The sequence below is a fragment of the Homo sapiens genome, chromosome 10 (genome assembly GCF_000001405.40).
Source record: "Homo sapiens chromosome 10, GRCh38.p14 Primary Assembly".
Lineage (NCBI taxonomy): Eukaryota > Metazoa > Chordata > Mammalia > Primates > Hominidae > Homo > Homo sapiens.
Window position 1 is genome coordinate 100,535,930 of NC_000010.11, and position 24,069 is coordinate 100,559,998.

Genomic DNA, 24,069 nt, shown 5'->3' on the forward strand with positions numbered 1-24,069 from the left:
TCCGGTGGGGGCCGTCCCTGGCGGCGGAGATGGCGGCGACAGCGGCGGAGGCTGTGGCCTCTGGCTCTGGAGAGCCCCGGGAGGAGGCTGGAGCCCTCGGCCCCGCCTGGGATGAATCCCAGTTGCGCAGTTATAGCTTCCCGACTAGGCCCATTCCGCGTCTGAGTCAGAGCGACCCCCGGGCAGAGGAGCTTATTGAGAATGAGGTGGGGGGCGGGGCCGCGTCTAAAGGGAGAGGAGGAAGGTACCCGGTTGAGAGGTCAGAGGTGAATGGTGAAAGAGATGGGAGACTGGCAGGGCTCTAGACTAGGGCCTATGGGAAGATGGAGAGAAAGGCGAGGAGATACGGAACTTAGGGGTTCGTGCTGATTAACAGGAGAAATTATTCTGAAGTTGAGAAGTAGTTGGGATCATGGAGGCCAACCCACCGGCTCCTTGGCATTACTTCATTTGGTGTTTTTCACCTGTTGTTTTCATTTAGGAGCCTGTGGTGCTGACCGACACAAATCTTGTGTATCCTGCCCTGAAATGGGACCTTGAATACCTGCAAGAGAATATTGGCAATGGAGACTTCTCTGTGTACAGTGCCAGCACCCACAAGTTCTTGTACTATGATGAGAAGAAGATGGCCAATTTCCAGAACTTTAAGCCGAGGTCCAACAGGGAAGAAATGAAATTTCATGAGTTCGTTGAGAAACTGCAGGATATACAGCAGCGAGGAGGGGAAGAGAGGTAAATTCCGAAAGCTTAATTTTCTGTTGGATTTAGGACACTCATTTTTCTTTCCTATACTTGTTTGAAGGTGTGGCAGAATTGGGTCAATTAGAGATTGGCCTCTCCCATCTCTGGATTCCAGTTGAAGGAGTAGTCTGGTCTTCCAGCCTTTAAGGGGTTTGAGTTCTTAGTGGTTCTTGGTGCTACAGCCAGCTAGTTCTGTAGCTTGAGGGATGAGGGAATGATTAAACTTGAGCTATGAATCTCTGGGTTCCCATCTTCTTCCTCATAAAGAGTTAGTTGCCTAGAAGGGTCAGGCAGGTGAATGGAAGGAGTAATATCGTCTGTGTGAAATCAGTGATGAGGCTGAAGGCATAAGCCTTGTTCAAAGTGAGAAGCCAAGGCCGGCGGGGGTGGCTCATGCCTGTAATCCCAGCACTTTGGGAGGCCGAGGTGGGAGGATTGCTTGAGTCCAGGAGTTCAAGACCAGCCTGGGAAACGTGGTGAGAGCTAGTCTCTGCAAAATTAAAAACTAAAACAAAAAACCATGGTGAGAGGTCATTACTTGACTCTGCTTGCTTCAGTTTTGGAGTGCAGTTCTAGGGTTGGGAGATATTCCGATTTTCAAGAGAAGTTCAAAATCAGGATTTTTATTTAAAATCTTTTGACTTTAAATGGAGCAACTAAATCAGATTTAAAGAAAAAAAGTTGCAGGGGGCCAAACAAAAATGTTTGTCACTGGATTTAGCTCTGAAAATGCCTGTTTGTAGCCATTGTCCTTAAGTATTGTGATGACTGAGGATAGTTCAACCTGAAAAGTTGTATAGTTTGTTGTGATTCTGCAGTAAAGAAGGTTAGGATTCTCTAGCTTAGGGAAGATCAGATTAAATTTGTTTTTCCTATCACAACAGCAACACAAGACACACAAGACAGTGATTCTTCCTCTCTGCTTTTATTCCTGCTTATGAGGACAGCCTCTTATGTAGGTCCGAGACAGTATTCAGTCCCACACTATAACACTGCCTCTGGGGAATTGCTTTCGCTCAGTACTTCACGGTGAATTACCCTCTCGCATTTGGTGTCCAACCCTGGGTTTCTCTCTAGTCTCTTGCTTCACTCACTCCTGTTCCTGACTCCTTATCAGCAGTCTGTGGCTAAGTGAATGGATTTGAAATATCTTTTTTTCTTCTTCTTAACACTTAGCAGTTGTCATAATGATGGGATTTTTGACCAGAAGAGTTTCCAAGATATGAACTGTGGTCGATCTGTCCATGATGTCTTAATATATTGGTTCAGTTATCTCATGCATTAATTTTCTAAAATTTAACACAGTGTGTGTGTGCACACTTCCATATACACACACCCAACATTGAGAGAAAGATTGATTTAAATGATGCTGTTGGAGTGTGTAATTCCATTGAATGAACATATACCCAAGAATAAGCATAAGATATGTGAATCTTGTGGTTCTTCAGTCGCTTGAAGTTTCTTGTGTCCCATAGTGAGAGCATTTTGCATAAGAATGAGTGTAATCTGTACTTTATGGGTGATTAAAGAGTTTTCAAGGAAAATCTTTAATTGTTTGGAAGTTTTACCCTATCAGCTGACTTTAGCACCGAGCAGCTTCACCAGTCAGCTTCACTTCAACCTGATTGGACAGGTTGTGGCGACTATGGGGTGAAATGTATTAGGATCCTCTGAGCTATTTTGAGCATTAACCATTCTGGTGTAATCATAATATTGTTTAGATTCATATATGGGCAGTATCACTGACTCTTTCAAAGTTACTTGCATATTTTTTGGGTGAATATATAATTATTATCTTTGGGGAGCGTTGCATTGAGTCTTGAGGATTTCATGTTCCTACAAAGGTAGTGTTTCCAACTCATCAAGATTTCCTATTAAGGCTGGGCATGGTAGCTCACACCTGTAATCTCAGCACTTCGGGAGGCAGATCACCTGAGGTCAGGAGTTCGAGACCAGCGTGGCTAACGTGGTGAAACCCCGTCTCTACTAAAAATACAAAAATTAGCTGGGCATGGTGGCACGTGCCTGTAGTCTCAGCTACTTGGGAGACTGAGGCAGGAGAATTGCTTGAACTCAGGAGGCAGAGGTTGCAGTGAGCCAAGATTGCGCCACTGCACTCCAGCCTGGGTGACAGTGAGACTCCGTCTCAAAAAAAAAAAAAAAAAAGATTTCTGATTAACATTGCCTTAAACATTGTGATTCTAGGCAGTGAGATGAGATGCCTTTGAACCTTTCTTTTTTTTTTTTTTTTTTGAGACAGGGTCTTGCTCTGTCACCCAGGCTGGAGTGCAGTGGCATGATCTCAGCTTACTGCAACCTTCACCTCCCAGGCTCAAGCGATCCTCCCACGTCAGCCTGTCAAGTAGCAGGGACCACAGGCATGTGCTGCCACCACCATGCCCAGCTAATTTTGTGTATTTTTAATAACCAATTTATTTATTTAAATACATAAGGTTTTGCCATGTTGCCCAGGCTGGTCTCGAACTCCTGAGCTTAGGCAATCCACCTCCCTTGGCCTCTCCAAGTGCTGGGATTACAGGCGTGAGACACCGCACCTGGCCTCTTTGAGCCTTTTGAAATAATGATCTCAGGACCAGGACAGAGATGCTTCTGTCTTTTTTTTAGGTTTGCACACTTATTAAATGTCTCTTGTGGGCTTGTTCAAGTGTGTCTGGGTTTTCATATCTCTTAAGTAACTTATGACCTTCCTCAGGTATGTTAGGAGCCTGAGGCCTTTACCTAATAAGCTATCTTCCTTACTTTAGCTGTAGAAGGCTGCAACAGGATAGGTGGCTGAATCAGTTAAGATAAACTAGGCTTCAAGCCAGAGCTCGGGCTAGAAACAACAGAGGCTTATTTCTCACTTACTACATGTTGATCATGGGTAATGTCATATTGTTCTTTACATCATCTTACTTGCTCTGGCACCCAGATTGCCCCAGCAGCTACTATCTAGAACTTTGGAGTTGCTGTGGCAGAAGGAAAGAGATGTGGTAGTGGTAACTTGTTCTTAAATTACAGTTGGAAACAACACAAGTCGCTTCTGTGGACATTTCCTTGGCCAGAGCAGCGTAAATAAGCAAGCCTGGCTTCAAGGGGATGTGAAAGAAAACTCGCACACTGAGGGAACCAGCTCTTGGTGAACAGTAATACAATTTACCACAGTGGTCATCAAGGGCCAACGGAGATGTCTCAGGCTCTGCGAGTCTCTGGAGTGAGACTGATTCATCATTCTAGGGTCTGTGGATAGGCTTCTAGGAGTCTGAAATTGTGTGAAAGTTCTGGGTGTATGTGCATTTTTATGGGGAACCTCCGTGGATTCTTTTATTTATTTATTTATGTATTTATATTTTTTGAGATGGTGTCTTGCTCTTGTCACCCAGGCTGGAGTGCAATGGCACGATCTCAGCTCACTGCAACCTCTGCCTCCCAGGTTCAAGTGATTCTCCTGCCTCAGCCTCCTGAGTAGCTGGGACTTCTTCTCCAGGTTCTTTTTTTTTTTTTTAATTTTATTTTTCATCTCACCCTCCTACTCTTTGGATTCTTAAAGGAGTCATTCTGTGACCCAAAAAAGGTTAAGCATCACTTCTTTAAAGAAAAAGTTTGGGGGCCAGATGCAGTGTCTCACACCTGTAATCCCAGCACTTTGGGAGGCAGAAGCAGGAGGATTGCTTGAGCCCAAGAGTTTAAGACCAACCTGGACAACATATTGAGACCTTGTTTCTTTAAACAAAACAAAGAAAAACCAGTAAATTAAAAAATTTGGTGTTGAACATAACTCAATGAAGGATAAGTAAGAATTCAGTTGTATGAGAATCCATGTTGGCTAAAATTTGCCTGACTACATCTGTTCTCTGTGGGAGATGCTGGTATGGATTTGGGCTTGGATTTTCAGATGTGGAGAGGCCATGCCAGGGGCTGTGTGTGCATGCACTAATAGGATTTTCTTCTTGGGGAACATAGGTTGTATCTGCAGCAAACGCTCAATGACACTGTGGGCAGGAAGATTGTCATGGACTTCTTAGGTTTTAACTGGAACTGGATTAATAAGCAACAGGGAAAGCGTGGCTGGGGGCAGCTTACCTCTAACCTGCTGCTCATTGGCATGGAAGGTAAGAAATCTTTCAAAAGCAGCATGGCTTGGAGTCATATGAACCTGATTTCTAATCCTGTCTTCACCGCTTATTAGCTCCATGACTTTGAACAAGCCACTTCACTTTCTTAAGCCTCAGCCTACTCAGCTCTAAAAGAAACATAATAGGGGCTGGATGCCGTGGCTCACGCCTGTAATCCCAGCAGTTTGGGAGGCCAAGGTGGGTGGATGATGAGGTCAGGAGATGGAGACCATCCCGGCCAACATCATGAAACCCCGTCTCTACTAAAATACAAAGAAAACAAATCAGCTGGGCATGGTGGTGCGTGCCTGTAGTCCCAGCTACTCGGGAGGCTGAGAGAGGGGAATTGCTTGAACCCAGGCGGTGGAGGTTGCAGTGAGCCAAGATCACGCCACTGCACTCCAGCCTGGCGACAGAGCAAGACTCTGTCTCAAAAGAAAGAAAAAGAAACATAATAGGGCCAGGCATGGTAGCTCATATTTGTAATCCCAGCACTTTGGGAGGCCAAGGCAGGAGGATTGCTTGAAGCCAGAAGTTTGAGGCTACAGTGAACTATGATTGCACCACTGCACTGCAGCCTGGGCAACAGAGTGAGATCCTATTGCTTAAAAAAGGAAAAATGAAAAGAAATGAAACATGATAATGTCTTGTAAATAGTTGTGAAGTTGTGAAGATTAAATGAAATAATGTATGTCGAGTCTGTTTTTTTTTGTTGTTGTTGTTTTGTTTTTTTGAGACAGAGTCTCACTCTGTTGCCTAGGCTGGAGTGCAGTTGTGTGGTCTCGGCTCACTGCAACCTCCGCCTCCCGTGTTCAAGTGATTCTCCTGCTTTAGCTCCCAAGTAGCTGACACTACAGGCGTGTGCCACCATACCCGGCTTATGTCGAGTCTTTAAGCTAGTTTCGTGTATTCTAAAAAGTTCCCTTTTCCCTTCCTCAGCTGTTATGTGAGTGTGTATACTGAGATATTAGGGACCTCTCTGAAATACAGACATGTGATGCTTAATGTCAGGGATACGTTCTGAGAAATGTGTTGTTAGGTGACTTCATCATTGTGCAAACACCATAGAGTATAGTTACACAAACCTAGATTGTGTAGCCTTCTATATGCCTAGGCTATATGGTGTAGCCTCTGACTAAACCATGTACTACATGGTGTTAGCATATTACTGTGCTGAATATTATAGTCAATTCTAACACAATGGTAAGTATTTGTGTATCTAAACATACCTAAATATAGAAAAGGTATAGTAAAAGTACGGTATCAGATACTGCAGGAAAAAGGTGACAAAAGAAAAAAGTATATAAAGGTTAAAAAATGGTAGTTTGGGAATTTTTTTATTGCCAAAAAAAAAAAAGATAAAAAACGGTATACCTGTATAGGGCTGCTCCATCATAATCTTATGGGAGCACTATCGTAGATGCAATCTGTTGTCGACTAAAATGTCATCATGTGGCACATGACTGTACCACTTTTCTCTACTAGATCTGTCTATATTCAGACAATTTTTGTCCCTGTGAAAGAGGAGAAACTTATTTTTTTAGTGTAAATTCAACTTTATTGTTTTTATTTATTTATTTATTTTTGAGACAGAGTCTCGCTCTGTCGCCCAGGCTGGAGTGCAGTGGCGCGATCTCGGCTCACTACAAGCTCCGCCTCCCAGGTTCACGCCATTCTCCCACCTCAGCCTCCCAAGTAGCTGGGACTACGGGCGCCCGCCACCACACCTGGCTAATTTTTTTTGTACTTTTAGTAGAGATGGGGTTTCACCGTGTTAGCCAGGATGGTCTCGATATCCTGACCTCATGATCCACCTGCCCCGGCCTCCCAAAGTGCTGGGATTACAGGCGTGAGCCACCGCGCCTGGCAAATTCAACTTTATCTTTTAAATAGATAATACATTCATGGAGTTCGAATTCAAAAGGTGTAAATAGGTACATAGTGATAACTACCCCTGTCTCTTAGCCTCCCAATTTCCTCCCTGGAGGTACTGCATATTATTAGTTGCTTGTGTTTTCTGCTAGAGAAATTTATGCATACACTAATAAATATGTGAATGTGTTTTTTTTTTTTTTTTTTTTTTTCTTTTGAATGAAAGGAGAGGCCCTTAAACTCCACTCAGGAGAATGAGAGCTTTTTATGAGGCAGGGTCATTGTCTCATTCTTATTTTTATTTCTCGCAGTAGCTCAATGCCAGGCCCATGGTAGGTACTTAGTAAATGGTGAATAACCTGGGTTGAACAAGGAAACAGAGAAGTTATTTATTGTCATTCACCACTTAGCTCCTTGGTTTCTTCTTGTTTGATTGTCTGTTCTTCAGATTTGGATCCTTTGCTGCTGGTACTAATAAAGATTTCCGGCCATGTGGCTTGTGAATTGATACCACCTGCCTCTTTTTTTGTTTTTGTTTTTGTTTTTTATTGAGACAGTGTCTCACTCTGTCACCCATGCTGGTGTGCAGTGGCATGATCAGGGCTCACTGCAGCCTTGACCTCCCAGTCTCAAACGATCCTCCCACCTCACCCTTCCAAGTAGCTAGGACTACAGGCGTAAGCCACCATGCTTGGCTAATTTTTAAAGTATTTTTCTGTAGAGATGGGGGTCTCCCTATGTTGCCCGGACTGGTCTCGAACTCCTGGCCCCCTCTCACCTTGGCCCCCTAAGTGATCCTCTCACCTTGGCCCCCTAAAGTGTTGGGATTACAGACGTGAGCCACTGTGGCTAGTCTTACCTGCCCCTTTGAAACCAACTCTTGGTTGACCTGCCAAGAAAGAGCCAGTTCTGGTTTACTTGACTCTTTTTTTTGAGACAGAGTCTCGCTCTGTCGCCCAGACTGGAGTGCAATGGCGTGATCTCAGCTCACTGCAAGCTCTGCCTTCCGGTTCACACCATTCTTCTGCCTCAGCCTCCCAAGTAGCTGGGACTGTAGGCGCCCGCCACCACGCCCGGCTAATTGTTTTATAGTTATAATAGAGACGGAGTTTCACCGTGTTAGCCAGGATGGTCTCAATCTCCTGACCTCATGATCCCCCGCCTTGGCCTCCCAAAGTGCTGGCATTACAGGCGTGAGCCGCTGCGCCCGGCAGTTTACTTGACTCTTATGTCTTTCTGTTGCCTGCGTTTCCTGTGGTAGGGTGCATGGAAGTGGATCCCTCAGGTAGAGATGAGAGAGCAAGTCTGCTTTGAGGATGCATGTGGACTCTCATCACTTAAGAAAGCATCTGTCTTGGCATACCCAGACAGAGCTGGGGAAGATTGTCTAAATTCCATGCCCTGCAAAAGTGTGTGTTCAACTCATGGACTGTGCAAAGGCCAAACAACACACGTGGTCCTAGTTAGAAAGGAGTAGATGGAACATACACTAGGGCACAACTAATTCAAGGTGGCATTTAAAATAATGTGCCATATTTAAATTACACAGCACTCTCTTCAGTCATCTGATATTCTTTCCTCCAATGAAAATCACTTGCACCAGTGAGCCCCAATGTTGCTTTAAGAAGTGTTGTCTTGGCTAGATGTGGTGGCTCACGCCTGTAATGCTAACACTTTGGGAGGCTGAGGTGGACAGGTCACTTGAGCCCAGAAGTTGGAGACCAGCCTGGGCAACGTGGTGAAACCCCATCTCTTAAAAAAACAAGTATTGCATTCGTTAGGTGTATTGAAGTGGGAGGAAAGGTTGAGAATCTTTGAGTTCCACAGAGCTACCCAAAATAAATACAGAGCTACATAATCATACAACTTAGAATGACTGGTTAACTCCTCATGTATATGTTGTTGATACCAGTCATTTCTGTTTTGCTTTCCTTGAATTCCTGCCGTAGTCAAGAAGAGTACACGGTGTACACAGTTGATTACCCTACCTGATTTTTGAGGATCATTTTGATGTGCTCTTGCTTCCAGTAAGGGCAGCAGCCTTCATTTAGGGAAGTTGACTTAGCTGATAGTGGACCCTTAACCAGTGATGTTTGCTAGAGTTATTACCATACAAGCTTAACACCTAATTTTCTGAGAGTTGTAATTGGAATTTCCCTGATTCTGCCTAAATTTTGATTTGGAACTTTTAGCTGGGAGGGCAGGCTGGGTTTCTCTTTAGCACTGGGTCCTGTATTCCAGCTTATGCAATAGAACCACTGCTCTGCATAAGAAAATGCCTTTCTTCTTACAGGAAATGTGACACCTGCTCACTATGATGAGCAGCAGAACTTTTTTGCTCAGATAAAAGGTTACAAACGATGCATCTTATTCCCTCCGGATCAGTTCGAGTGCCTCTACCCATACCCTGTTCATCACCCATGTGACAGACAGAGCCAGGTGAGCTTGTGTGGTCTGAGAAGGGTATAGAACTCTAGATTCTAGTAATGCCTAGGCTGGAATGTCTTTCCCCTTCCCCGTAGTGATATGCCAGGTTCGGATTACAGGCTGTTCTTGCCTTAACACACCAAGAGGGTAATTTCATTGTAGCTCACATATTCCAGGCTCCCTGGAGTGGCCACCAGATGTTTGTAAGTATAACTAGCCCCACAGAGCTAATTCTCAGGACAGACACTGTCATTGATGCTGATGGACTCTGGTTACTCTGTTTGATTGGCTTATAAGTTTATGGAACAAAATGTGTATGTCTCCATTGGATTTAATCATTGTTTGCTTTTGTCATGGATGCTATTTCTTTTTGATAAGAAGGGTGAATAAAACTGAGCTATGTTGTTTAATGTATTTCCTAGATCTAAATGAGGTATGTGGTTAACTGTGGCCAGCCAAAGATATCCTTTCCTTTCTTCAGAAAGCTGTCTAGCTACTTCATGTGGGAGTCTTTGCTGGTTAGAATATGTTTTTGGGAAAAGTTTCTGAAGGTTTAGGTGGAGGATAATTCCTAATTCCTCATATCCTCAGCTGTGGAGTAGGTCGTCTGACCTCAGGAGCACTGAAGCCTAGGATTCTTTATCACTTAACATTCAAATGTGGACTGTCTTATATTGTTCTCTCTCAGGGTTTAATGTGCATTATATCTTCTGCTGGATATAAATTCCAAATACTTTTTTTAAGGCATCGTTTTTTTTTTGTTTGTTTGTTTGTTTTTACTGCCAAACTGGCATATAGTAGTTTTACTGGTGAAGATTTGGTGATTGATATTTTTTTTCTTTCTCTTGAACCTCTTAGGTGGACTTTGACAATCCCGACTACGAGAGGTTCCCTAATTTCCAAAATGTGGTTGGTTACGAAACAGTGGTTGGCCCTGGTGATGTTCTTTACATCCCAATGTACTGGTGAGAAGGGGGCTAGGGCTGGGGGCTTTTTGGGAGCTTTCTTTTCCATTCCCTGGAAAGCCTTGTCTGTGTCGCTTCTGAGTTATGGCATGATTGGTTTTATGTGGTCTATAGGAAGGTTGGCATATCCAGACATGAGCGTACTGAACCTGTGGGGGATAGTGGCGGGAATGATAGCCCTGTCTCTAGGACAGGATGACGGTTCTTCAAGTCCAAAGAGATTCCGGAGGCTTGAGCCTAGAAAAACTGTTCTTGGCTCTTTGGTATTTCGAGACTGAACACCAGTACCTCTAACCCCCAAGTGTGTGTTTTTTTCACAGGATGAGTGTAAAGATATTGTCTTCACTATTTTCCGTAACTGGACTCCACCTAGTTTTTCAGCCCAACCCTGCCACCCCCCCGCACTTCGCCCCTCCGCCCCCGCCAAAAGTATCAGTAGTAAACAGGAGCCTGTTTGTTTTCTTGCAGGTGGCATCACATAGAGTCATTACTAAATGGGGGGATTACCATCACTGTGAACTTCTGGTATAAGGTGAATATGGTTTGCTTTTTTTGTTTTTTCCAGATGGAACTGGCTCTTGGGTGAGGTAGGTATAATAAATGATTTTGGATGGGATGGTTGACTATCCCTGGAAGTGATTGTCAGGTGTCTGGGGAGATGAAAGGGACAGGATTGAATTGGGTTTCTTTTTTTTAAATATATTTTTTGAGACAGAGTCTTGCTCTATTCCCCAGGCTGGAGTGCAGTGGCGTGATCTCGGCTCACTGCAACTTCTGCCTCCCGGGTTCAAGTGATTCTCCTGCCTCAGCCTCCCGAGTAGTTGGGATTATAGGCACACACCACCATGCCTGGCTAATTTTTGTATCTTTAGTAGAGATGGGGTTTCACCATGTTGGCCAGGCTGGTCTCAAACTCCTGACCTCAAGTGATCCACCCGCCTCGGCCTCCCAAAGTGCTGGGATTATAGGCCTGAGTCACCGTGCCCGGCAAGAATTGGGTTTCTTAGAAGGGAGGATGGTACTAAGAACAGTAGAGTGACACTGACGCCTGCTGCTAAAGGCATTTCCTGAGCTACTGCTTCCTTTGTAGGGGGCTCCCACCCCTAAGAGAATTGAATATCCTCTCAAAGCTCATCAGAAAGTGGCCATAATGAGAAACATTGAGAAGATGCTTGGAGAGGCCTTGGGGAACCCACAAGAGGTAGGTGACTGCCCCAAGGTGGCTCAGTGGGTGGGTTGACCAAGGAAAGTCAGGATCAGAGCGACATTCTTTACAGCTTCTGTGTTTCAGTGTCTGGTGTCCTCTCTCTCCATAGAGGTTATGGGTATGTTCAGAAAAATTCTTGTTTTCTGGTGATAGCTGGGCTTGACTGGCAGATCAATTATAATTAGTTCCATGCTAGTAGTAATGTTCCCCATGGGTATTATGTACCATCTGGGGACCCCCTGAGGGGATTCTTCTGGAACAGGAAGCGAGCACTAACACATCTCCTTGCACTTTCCCAGCTGTGCCAGGGCTGCTGTAGGTAATGTTGAGAGACCTGCTTCCCATGCAGGTGTGCCAGTGGCCCATTGGGTAAATGGGGGAGGTTTGTATTTGTAGGGTTCTTGCTTGCCTCTTGGAGGTAACCTCAGCATCCACAGACACCTGTGGTGTTGGGAGATAGCATCAGCCCCAGTTGCAGATGATCATTTTTTGAGGATATGGAGGCAGTTAACATTCTGGAGAAACATATAGACACTCTTGGGTGTTCGGGGATTATTAGCTTCTCTGACCATGTCTGTCCGTTTGGGGCAGATTACGGTAAGAGACGGTGTTGTGCGAGAGAAGAATAATAGTACAAGATGGACCCCTGAGGGAAAGACTATGTCCCAGAATACTGGGTTGACCTTCAGGAAGATAGGTGATTAGAGGATTCACAAGATTGTATGAAAACATTGTCTCTGTCCTTGGCTGGACATCTGATGTCTCCAGACACACCCTGTCCAATTCCAGGGCCAGGGAACAGCCAGTTCTGATTGGCTCCTCATGTTTCTTTACAGGTGGGGCCCTTGTTGAACACAATGATCAAGGGCCGATACAACTAGCCTGCCAGGGGTCAAGGCCTCCTGCCAGGTGACTGCTATCCCGTCCACACCGCTTCATTGATGAGGACAGGAGACTCCAAGCGCTAGTATTGCACGCTGCACTTAATGGACTGGACTCTTGCCATGGCCCAGGAGTCAGGTGTTTGGAGCGAGGCAGGGCAGTTGGCACTCCACTCCTATTTGGAGGGACTTCATACCCTTGCCTCTTGTGCCCCAGCACCTTCTCTCTCTGCCCCCCGCCTAAAGTCCTGCATTCAGTGTGTGGAGTCCCAGCTTTTGGTTGTCATCATGTCTGTGTGTATGTTAGTCTGTCAACTTCGGAATGTGTGCGTGTGTGTGCATGCACACGCATGTATGTATCTGTTCCCTGTTCCTTCTGGGTCAGGCTGTCACTTCCGGCTCTCAGCCCTATCTCCTGCAACCTCAGTGCCTCAGCCTGAGAGAGAGATGAGATGCTCTTGGACTCCCCACTGCATCTGGGCTGCAGGGCCAGAGCTAGTCTGACCATTAGGTCAGTCTGCCTCCTGACAGTTTTTGCGTAGTCAAGCTCTAGGCGGTATGGGAATGGCTACCGGGACTCTAATGGGGTGAAAGAGAGGGGAGGCTTGCCTTTGAGAGCCTATATAGCCTTCCTGTGAGAGAGGATTAGATAGGGTTCCAACTGGGCCTACAAGCTCAAGCCATACATAAAAGGACCTTGGGACATAAGAACCAATGATTGTGCATAAGTTCTAAATTAGAGACACATATAGTTTCTCTCTTTCAGCACCAGCTCTTGCCCCTATGCTGGGTACCAAGGGAGTTCTCCTAGCTGTGGCTTCTCTAGGTTCTAGGGGTGCAAGCCTCTGTGTGTTTGTTTGTGTGTGTCTGTGTGTGCGTATCCACACTAGGGGTGCAAGCCTCTGGGTGTGTGTGTGTGTGTGCGTGCGTGTGTGTGTGTGTGTCCGTGTGTGTGTGTGTGTGTGTCCACACTGGCCAGCCTCCCTACTTACCAAGGTTCTCCACTGCTTACCTTTTCCAGTGGGACAGTACAGTGTGAGCCCCCGGGAAGTACTGCCTGACCTATCCTAAGCTTTTACACTTGGATTTTAGCCATCATATGTTGGCCAGGTCTCACTGCAGCCTGCCCGAGGCTAACTGGCTAGAGCCTCCAGGCCCTATGATGCTCCCTGCCCAGGCCATATCCTTTATTCCTGCTGAGCTTCCTGGCTGAATAGATGAAATGGGGTCAAGCCCAGGCAGCTCATTCACTACCTGTGATCCACCTCAGGGCACGGGCAAACACATAGGCTTGCGTCTTAAAGCCAGCTCCTCTGCCAGACCCCGTTGTAATGTGCCACAACACCCTCAATAGTCAGGGCAACTGGTGGAGCATGGAAGTCGAATTTCCTTTTCTGTTAGGAGCTACTCCTGGGAACCCCTCTCAGGGCTGCAGCTTACAGGTGGGCAGCTGTGATTGCACAACTTGAAGGGCCATCATTCACATCTATTCAGTGGGAGTGGGGTCCCTGGGATTGGGCAGTGTGGTGGCCCTGTGTCTCCTCACCTCTGCTCCTGTCTTCATCACCTTCTCTCTGGAAGGGAAGAGGAGTTGGAAGGTCTCTGGTTTTCTTTTCTTTTTTTTTTTTTTTGCCAAAGGTTTACTTCCAGCATCTGAGCTCTGGCTCTCACCCCTGAAGCTCAGTTATAGTGCACTGATGAACTGAGAGGATGCGTGTGGATGTGTGTGCATGCCTGAGTGCGTTTTTTGGGGAGGGGTGTTTATTTTTAGTACCCCATTCTGGGGTTCTCTGATGCAGTGTGGATGTGAAGATATGGTACCTTCTCAAGTGTAGCTCTTTCAAATATAGTCAATGCTGGGAAATGTGATTGCAGTGATCTCTATCTCTCCACTTCTTTTGGGAAAGAGGAGCACAGGAGCGGAGGAAAAACTTGGCCACAGTCACACTTGGAAAGATAGTAGATTATTTTCGTTCTCCTCAGCAGGTCTGCTGTATTCCTCGCTCAGCGCTCAAAGATGTGGGTGATGTGTCAAGGAGGCATGCACTCAGCTGGTCCTTGCTGAGTTATTTGCTGACACAGGTCTCACTAAGGTGGCTGAGGGGTGGGAGGGAGAAGGCTAATCTTGGAACCTTCACAGGATTGGCCTTGATCCTTGGGTAACACAAGAGTGATTCCTGATTTTTAGACACCTAATATGTGCCTAGTGCTTTTCTCTTTGTTCCTCACTATCCTGCAAGGTAGGTATTCTCACTTACAGATGAATAAATGGGCTCAGAGAGATTAGGTGATTAGTGACAATCAGTTGTAACTTAGCACTGTTAGGCTGCAAACCCCTTGCTCCTTCCTTTCCACCAAACTATGTTGATTTTCCTTCCTTACCTCCCTCCTTGTACCACAGGTTCTGTCCTCAAGATATCACCCCACTGGGCAGTATCTGAAGGCAGACCCAGCCCAAGATGGTGCAGAATATACAGCTCAGGGTGAAAGTTCTTCTGGGCTCCTGCTAACAAAGTCTTGGAAAAACTGCCTGGGAAGCCATATTATGAATTAGTGCTAGAAGAAGCTGTGGGGGGAACTGAGTTCTGTGTCTAATTGCATTACTTATGTGTCCTTGAATAGGACCCATAACTCCTCCCGGCATGCTTTTGCATCTATAGAACTGAAGCTGTAGTTCTAGATGGCACTAAGGGTCTTGGTTCATATTCAGCTGCTGCTTCCCCCCAAGGAAAAGATGAGGTTTTTCCCCTTCGATTACCTTTTGAGGGATGTTTAGGCTCAAATTCTGCTTGCCACAGAGGAAACATTTCTGCTGTAGTTGTTTACCTCCATCCTAGCTGGCAGTGTGGGACACACACATACAGCAAGTGAAGGTGGGGGTTTGGGCCTGTATAGAGGTCAGCTACGCTGCAGGCTCATCTATTCACACCAGCAGGTACAGAGAAAACTAGTGTTTTGTAAAGTCAAATATTTGTTGGGGGTTGGAGTTCTGGGGTTGGAGGAGGGGCTGTTCTGGGCATCAGTTGAGCAGATGCCCAGGATGCCTGGGGGAGACCAGCTTCCCCTACAAATCAGAGCTCTAAATTACAAGGTTTTTACCAACGTGAACAGTTGGGGGAAGTCGTCTGCTCTCATTTGCGTAATGGTTTCTGTCACTGGTGATTAGACACAGGATGAAGGAAAAGAAATTTGACAATTAGGAATGAGCGATCATTAATCTGAATCTGTTAGGAGACAGAGAGGGGAAGGATCCTTATCAGTGGGCCAGCCCAGTATGGGGAGACACTCCCTCCCTCTGCCCCCAGAGACTCCTGGGCTACATCCTCTTTCAGTATTGCCACAAGTGGGCAGAGCTTGTATTTCTTAACAAAGATTAGGGACCCAGTTGCCAGCCTGAGATGGATATAGGAACAGACATCTTTGGGCATGAGCCAACAAAGATAGAAATAGATGAGTGTCAGGTACAAGCTATAAGGCAAAGAATAACAGTGGAAAAGTTTTGACATGTGTTTGCCATTTGTGGAAAATGTTTTTGTAATAGTCAACACCCCTCATAGCCCACCTGTGACAAGTACTTGTTACATTCCAGCACTGTAGGGCGTGAGGAAAATCTGGTCCTTATCAAATCCCAGGAGCTTCTGCTTAGTTGGGGAAGAAATTACATGAAGCAACCAGAGGTTATAAGGCCACACTTGTATATCGTGCACCCTGTGTGGACAAGATTAGGGACTGTTGAGAGAGGAGGAAACCAGTAGAGAGCAAAGCTCTACCCAGGCTCCTTGTAAGCCTCTGGGCTCCCCCGAGAGGGCCTCGCTACTCTACGCTTCCTAGCAACGTTGATGTCCCCACAACCCCACATCAGTGCAGCTGTGGCTGTGTGGAGGGGCTCTGAGGCCTCTGAGGCCAGATGTGTAAACAGTGCTGAGGTTCAGTAATAGGATGAGTCTTCAGGTGTGGAGCAGCCCACCTTGGCTCTTCCCATGTCTCTGTGTTACTTCTCATATTCTGCTGTCCTTTCAAACTTCAAGGACAGTATTAATTTATACTAGTATTTCTTCCTCAGTTTTGTGACTTGAATGCAGTGAGTGCCTTAGAGGATCCAAGGATGAAGGAATGCGGGTTGGTGGTTCTCTCTTTCAGAATGGGAACTTCCCAAAAATGGGGCTGCGTCTCGCCTCTCAGTAGGTTCCCTACCTCTGGGTCTTCCACCCTTCAAAATCTGGTACAGAATTTAGCAGGGGCTGCAGGGAATGACCCTCAGGGACCAGTTTCACCCAGATGGGGTAGATGATGAGGTATACCTAGAAGTAGCTCAGGGCTCCAGAGTCTGGCCTTTCAGCTGGTGTCTTACTCCCCTTTGAGACCTTCAGCTGCTTGTCTTCCACTGCCTGCATACTTCTCTGATGTCTTCTCAAACTGTTGGCTCTAAAGGGATGTTCCAGCCTCCCTCTCCAGAGCTGCCTGCAGTTTCCCTTATTCAGCTGTCTCCTGCCTAGTCTCTCCAGCGGCCTCCTTACCAAGACCCTTTTTCCTAAACAGTTGTCCTTCCCTCAGAAACTCCATGGCTGCAAGTGTGAATAGACTTGTCTTTAGGATCCCTCTCTCTGGTCATCCCTGATCATCTTAGGGCCGTCTCCCTTTTCTGATTTTTGACAGCTCTGTTTATTTTGCCCATGGCTAGTCCTCTTGTTTTGTGTCTGCTGTGTGTTCTTGCCCTTCCATTGTCAGTTCTGTACATCCTGGTTCAGCTTGTCTCACTGTGGTAGCCCCTTCTGCTTGTCTTCAGCCATCTTGGTTTAATCCTCATAGGTCATGGATGAATGGAGCCTTGCTGAGCACTTTGAGGGCATTTCTGTTGGGCACAACCTCAGAAACGGGAAGTCTTGAGGCCTGGGGGCGTGTGGTCAGTGAGGCCTCCAGAGGTGGGTTAGGGGTGGGCACCTACAAGGGCCAGTTGAGGGGAGAGGTGCAGGGATTGCTGAGGAGACTTTGTGAGAATGATGTCAGGCCCGGGAAGCTGGTGTGGAAGAACTGAGCTGTCAGAAGGAGATACCAATATCCCCTTTGCAGGGTGGTGATGGGCATCAAACATGACGTGGAACATGTCCCCTTCATGGAGGGTTTCCATCTAAATGCATCTGTGTGCCTTAGGGATCAGTAGTTCAGGGGTGGTGGACTTTTTTGAGTGTCTCCTAATTTCTCTGAGGTGTCTTTGGCTCTGTGTCACCAAATGTGCCTGACCTCTGCATCCCAGTGGTTGCTGAAAGGGAAACAGTATATTGCGTAGTCAGATGTCAGGAGTAGAGATCTTAATGAGAAAGGCCCTGGCAGCTGGAGAGATGAGAGGACCTAGTGGTCAGCTTATACCCAGACTATCTCTCCACTCCTCCAAGAGTTTGAGTCCCATAGCTGATGAAAGAATTTACATATGGGCTCCCCCCTGCTTTCCCACTGAAAATCTATTCTCATATTTTGGGAAGGAGCATATGTCCTTTAACTTTCAATGGTAAACAATCTAGGATAGTGTTTAAAGGCATGGATTTTGGAGTCACATATAGTTGGTTTGAATTTCTAGCTTCACTACTTACCAGCTGGGTTTGACCTTGGTTGATTTACTTAACCTCTCTGAGCCTCAGTTTCCTCAACTATAATAACATGGGTGGAGGGAGGCATGTTGAAAATATCTACCTCAGGGTTGTTGGAATAACTGAAACAATGTTTGTAAAGCTTTAGCACAGTGCCTGGCAAGCACTTAATAAATGGCTGTGGTGGTGGTGGTTATATTTATTATGTGATTTATTCAGAAACTTGGTTTCAGTGATCTCTAAACAGATTTCCAGTGGTTCTTTCTCTCTCAAGAAAAGCATAGGGAAAAACGAGAAACACCTTAGATAAACCATATTGAGTTGAGGGTAGACAGAAGAGTCTAGTACCTAAACTCACCCTAGAGGAAGAGAAACAGGAAGTGTCTTATGCCTCTTCTGCCTGGGCAGCCAGACTTTACTGCTGTACTACCAGCCCAGGGCCTTGGGTGAGAAGGTTTCAGGTCTGAGCTCCCCTTGCACTGTGTGAGAGGCCGTGGAGCCGAATGAGTCCTTATTATACCTGGAGAAGCTGTTGTCTCCTCACACCATGAAATGTAATAGCAGTCAAATCAGGCCCCTCTTGATTCAATTTTAGTCCATGCCTTTCCATGTATTTAAATTATATAAGTGTTGGCCAGGTGTGGTGGCTCACACCTGTAATCCCAGCACTTCGGGAGGCTGAGGCAGGAGGATCACTTGAGCCCAGGAGTTCGAACCAACCTTGGGCAGCATAGTGAGACCCCTTCTCTTAATAATTTTTTTTGAAAATAATTTTTTAAAAATTACAAATATGGACCAGACACCTGGGAGGATTACCTCACGCCTGTAATCCCAGCACTTTGGGAGGCTGAGGTGGGTGGATCACCTGAGGTCAGGAGTTTGAGACTATCCTGGCCAACATGGTGAAACCCTGTCTCTACTAAAAATACAAAAATTAGCCAGATGTGGTGGTGGGTACCTGTAATCCCAGCTACTCGGGAGGCTGAGACAGGAGAATCACTTGAACCTGGGAGGCGGAGGTTGCAGTGAGCTGAGATCACGTCATTGCACTCCAGCCTGGGTGACTACAGTGAGACTCCCTCTCAAAAAAAAAAAAAAAAAATTATGAGTATGTTAAGATTGTTCTAGGGGAGAAGGGCAATCAAAATTCAGAAAAATATGAGTGGGATGTTAATAGCTACCATTTGTTGAACACTTCTGTTCCAGGCACTGTATTAGTTCGTCCCCATGTGGTGCTCTCAGATCAGTAGGGGAGACAGGCAGGCAGTTAGAATTATGGTGTATAGAGGAGAAGCATTGCACTATGTCCAGTTTTTTATGGTAGGCTTCCTGCAGAAAGTGATAAGTCCAAGCTGATATGTGGAAGATGAATAATTAACCAGAGGTTGGGGGATTTCCCCCTTAGCTTCTCTTTCTTCCAGTCCAGCAGTCCAAAACAAACACTGCTTCCCAATGCCTAAGGGTTTTGTCGTACCTTACTCCAGGGAATGGGTGAGACAGTAGATCCCAAGAAGAAAACCCTTTGGTTAGTCACAGAAATCTGAAAGTCTTGGTTGCTGGCTCAGATTTGTCCTGGAGTGGACGTAGATTGGACTTGCTTATTTGTAGCCCTCCACCGTTCTCATTTGTGTTCTGGCCTCTGGAGCCACCCTGCCAGACCCTACTTGGAAGAAATGTTGAATCAAGCTACTCAGACTTCAGCCTGAGATGTATTATGGCTGGCTGGAATTCTCAGCCCTTTCCACATCATGATCCCATTAATCTCTTGGGTCTATCCCCACGCCCAGCCACCTCTCCTCCTCACTATAAGCCAAGTCTCCCTGCAGTTCTCTATAAATACTCAGATCCTCTTGCCTCAGACCCTGGTCCCTAGCTTTGTGGGTGAAGAAGATACCTCTTTAGCTTGTGCCAACCCATCCCTCTGGGCTACAGGCCATTCTGTAGTCACCTTGCAGTCACGTCTTTCCTTCTAGATAACTGGCTCTGGGCCTTGGAAACCTTCTCTTTGGCTCTAGCTAATTTTGCTGTTTTATTCCGTTTACTTAAAACCTATTCACTTGGTCATTGAGGTCAGAACTATCAGGAAAGCTGTGCTCCTTAACCCATCATCTAAGCTAAGCTTGGGCCAGGTTTTTATTACCTCTTGAATATATATAGTGCAATATAGTGTAGTGGTTGAGAGTGGAGTCTGCATACCTGGATCTGCCATTCTGCATGACTTTGGGCAAATGGACAAACTGCCCGAAACTTGACTTGTTTATATGTATGGGGAAGACATCATTTACATTGTCAGGGTAAGGCTTAGCAGAATGACCGGTCCATAGCAAGGGCTCAGTCTTTCTGTGTCTCTCAGTCTTTACCTCTCTTCCCCATCTAGCTTTCTGTCTAAGTTCCTGTTTCTAGTCTCAGGGCATATCTAGTTGTCAGCTCCTGAGCAGAGCAGAGGTATAAGTGTCAACTCATGCTTGTGTTACCAGTTCCTACCCCTGTCAGTAACCTCTGATGCTTACAAGGATACTATCACCTATGCCATCAGTGGGGAATGACCTTCCAAAAATATTTTTAACAATACTAAAAATACCTGAAACATACTGGGTGAAAATAAGACATTGGAGCTGCTGCTCCCCAAGGAGATAAAAGGACAGTTCCTAAAGAGGCATTGAAGGTTTGTATGAGCCAGCAGCACAGTCAGAAGGCAAGAAGGAGACCCTGGGATGTGCACAAGGATGCAGGAGACGAGATTGTCACAGAGGCTGTCATGCTAGTAAGAGTCAGAGGTTACTGATGGGTAGAGATTGTCAGAGTCTGCCTTGCTAGTCTAGAGGTAGGACCATGGATTTAAGAACGTTGCCTCCAAGTTTTTGAATTGTGAATTTTTGATCATATTTGAACAAAACCCCACCTACAGTCTGCATGGTCATTGTTCTCACAAGGGTTTGTGTGATGCACTGACAAGAACAGAGGCTTTGGAGGTGACTCCTGGGTTTGAATCACCATTTGCCACTAGCTAATTCTAACCTTAGGTAAGTCAGTGTCTCTGGGTCTCAACCTCTTCCTCTGTGAGGGGTAGGAAATAGCACATAACTTGTAGCATTGTTATAAGGGCTCGTGATAATGTTTTTAAAACACCTGGCTCAAGCACTCAGGAAAATGTTTTATTATGAAGACCAAGTGTCTCTGAAAAGTGTTTCCTTAGTGTCTGGAGAGACTACAGCAGCAAGGCTTTTCTGATCCTACTCTGACTCTCAAGATAATGGTGCTTGAAGTGAAATCACAGAAGAGATGACTGGGGCAGGAAAAGCAAGATGGAAAAGATAAAGTTGTGGAAGGGACTGAAAGTCCATGAAGTGCTGGGCTGGGGACAGAAAGGGTTTAATAGGGCAGGGTCTTGAGGAACAGGAACAGAGACCTTGGTTCTGGGTTGCCATCTGATTCCCAGAAGAGTAAAGGAAATGGGGCAGGAGGATGTCTGTGGAGGACACAGTGTGGCTGAGTGGAGAGAACACAAGCTTCTGGCCAGTGAACCTAAGTGAGAATGTCAGTGGACTTTGCACAGGCTGGGTGCCTTTGGGGGTGTTCATCTCGCTATGCTTCGGTCCCCTCATTTAAAAAAATTGGTTAATAATATGATGACCTGCCAATGTGTGTGGAAATACTATGTAAACTGAGCACTATATAAATGCTGGTTGTTGAGATATTGGGAGTGGGGGTTTCGGGAGATTTTGTTTGTTTGTTTTTTTGAGATGGAGTTTTCGCTCTTGTTGCCCAGGCTGGAGTGCAGTGGCGTGATCTTGGCTCACTGCAACCTCCACCTCCTCCAGGTTCAAGCAATTCTGCCTCAGCCTCCCGAGTAGCTGGGACTCAGGCGTGCGCCACCATGCCTGGCTAATTTTGTATTTTTAGTAGAGATGGGGTTTCTCCATGTTGGTCAGGCTGGTCTCGAACTCCCGACCTCAGGTGATCTGCCTGCCTTGGCCTCCCAAAGTGCTGGGATTACAGGTGCGAGCTACCACACCTGGCCCTGGATTTCTTAATAGGTCCTCTTATGTGGCTATTGAGAATGAATGAGACAACTCATTAACTAACTAAGTTAATTCAGAACTTAGTGCCTAGTAAGTGCTCAGTAAATGTTAGTTTCTTTTCCTCCATTTCTTCTTAGGAAGCATCGTTTACCCAGCATAAACAGGAGGACTCAACTGTGCATGTCTTAGTGTGAACAAGTAACATCAGATTTCCCTTTTCTGAGGAGAGATCAGTTCTGTAAGAGGGAGCATGAGTGTGAATGGGGAAGAATCATGGAGAAGGGAGCAGGACTCCACAGTACTGGAGATGGAGTAGGGACCTCTGGGAATCGTTGGCATGGGGGTGTGGTGCAGAAAGGGTGATGCTAAGAGGTGAGAGTCTCAAGAAAGAAGATGGGTGTTCTAGAGGGGAAAGCTAAACGATGATAGGCAATGAGGAGCGGAGGACAAGACCCTGAACTAAGGGTGAGGAGGCCAGCATTCTGTCAGGAGAACCTTAGGAATTGTGACCAGAAGTCAAAGTTGTTACAGCAATCCTGCATTCAACCAGGTTTCATCTGAAAAACTTAAGAGTTGCTAGGCACAGTCGTGCACACTTGTAATCCCAACACTTTGGGAGGCTTGAGTCAGGAGGAAGCTTGAGGCCAGGAGTTTGAGATCAGCCTAGGCAGCATAGTGACACCCCATCTCTTGAAAAAACAAACACTCTTAAGAGCAGTGGTTCACCTAGAAATAAAAAGCAGAAATCATCAAGATGAGAAGACATTTTGTGTTTTGACAGCCAAGGAAATTTGCCACTGAGACAAGGTATCTGACAGCCTAGATGGGATTCTAGACTTCTGTGAGAAAGTGCAGTTAGGCCCTGAATAGCGTCAAACTCAGGGATGTGAGCTGACTGACTGCCTTTTTATGTAATGGAGGCCATGTGATAGGGCTTTATGAGGCCACAAATAGCACTTTCTGGGTCCTTTCACAGTCTAGTCAGTGGCCCAACCAACATATCTGGTTGTTCTGCAATCTCAGTCATCTGAGAAGATAACCTCCAAAATACATGCAGTGGCATCAGGTGTTTCCTTGGTAGGTGTGCATCTTTTAATGATGGAGGACTTAGGATGAAGAACAGGTGTGTTTAAAAACATCAAACCCCCACATCATTACTATTTGCTGTAAGGATCTATGCAGTTTGTATTTTAAGTCCTTGACATATGGAAGAGCATTTGTGAGAGTAACAGGTTTGCTTTGTAATGCCAACTAAAAAGTGTGTATTTATACTCGAATTTTAAGTTGAAATTTTGCTAAGTTTCTTTTTTTTTTTTTTGAGACGGAGTCTCACTCTGTTGCCCAGGCTGGAGTACAGTGGTACAATCATTGCTAAGTCTTTCTGTAGTTTTAGAACATTTAGAACAACTTAAGATTTCCTGTATTTATAAACTTAATTTATTGGAAATATAAGTACTTGATCAGGTTTTGTCTTGGTCAGATAAATTAAGTACTTAAGGAAATCAAATACATTAATCATATAAATGCCATTTAAGTGTTTAAAGGAGTTTAGTTAAATGTAAGTTGGATCAAACATTAAACTTTTTTGTTTTATAAGCAAAATAATAAGATTTGTTAGCAGAACTTAAAAGCTTAGAAAAGAGAGGATTTTGGATATGTAACTTTGAAGAGGTGAATAGTTTGCTCTTTTCTGAGACAGGGCATTGCTTTTCGACGCAGGCTGGAGTGCAGTGGGGCAAGCATGGCTCACTGCAGCCTCAACCTCCTGGACTCAAGTGATCCTCCTGCCTCAGCCTCCCATGTAGCTGGGATCACAGGCACATGCCACCACACCTGGCTAATTTTTTATTTTTTGTAGAGACAGGGGCCTCACTTCATTGCCCAGGCGGATCTCGAACACCTGGGCTCAAGCAGTCCTGCCTCAGCCTCCCAAAGTTCTGGGATTACAGGCATAAGCCACTGTGCCTGGCCTTGAATATATTTTTTAACCAAAGTAATTTATGAATATAAATTGTTTCTATATAACCCAAAGTCACTCTCATTGACATTAAGAAACTCAGAGAGTGGGTTCTAAATGTAATATTACCACACACCCAAGTCACTTAGCCTCTACAAGTACCACGTAACTAGCAGCCGTTAAAAGATGGCCACCGCTAGTCCAGTCGGCCACAGACATGGTTTTGTTTGGCCAATACAAGTTTTTGAAAGTTTTAAAAAATTGACAACATTAAAGATCAGAAACTTGACCTAAAAA

General features: G+C 45.5%; 1 protein-coding gene across 2 annotated transcripts; it reads left to right on the plus strand.

Annotated features, from left to right (window-relative positions):
- HIF1AN (hypoxia inducible factor 1 subunit alpha inhibitor) lies at window positions 14–24,069 on the plus strand. 2 transcript variants are annotated; one of them, XM_011539940.3, is made up of 8 exons: window positions 14–266; window positions 482–732; window positions 4,705–4,853; window positions 9,022–9,167; window positions 10,014–10,120; window positions 10,589–10,652; window positions 11,211–11,321; window positions 12,164–24,069. In XM_011539940.3, the coding sequence occupies exons 1-8, from the start codon at window positions 30–32 to the stop codon at window positions 12,206–12,208; spliced, it is 1,110 nt and encodes a 369-aa protein (XP_011538242.1). In that variant the 5' UTR covers window positions 14–29; the 3' UTR covers window positions 12,209–24,069. The 2 variants fall into 2 exon arrangements, with proteins under 2 accessions (XP_011538242.1, NP_060372.2); NM_017902.3 differs by having other exon boundaries at window positions 14–206.

What these genes read in the sequence shown, in the direction of transcription:
- HIF1AN (XM_011539940.3), top strand. Translation starts at nt 30, where the DNA reads ATGGCGGCGACAGCGGCGGAGGCTGTGGCCTCTGGCTCTGGAGAGCCC. An exon ending in CTGTGAACTTCTGGTATAAG is followed by an intron (nt 10,653 to 11,210) that starts GTGAATATGGTT and finishes CTTCCTTTGTAG; the next exon opens with GGGGCTCCCACCCCTAAGAG. An exon ending in CCTTGGGGAACCCACAAGAG is followed by an intron (nt 11,322 to 12,163) that starts GTAGGTGACTGC and finishes GTTTCTTTACAG; the next exon opens with GTGGGGCCCTTGTTGAACAC.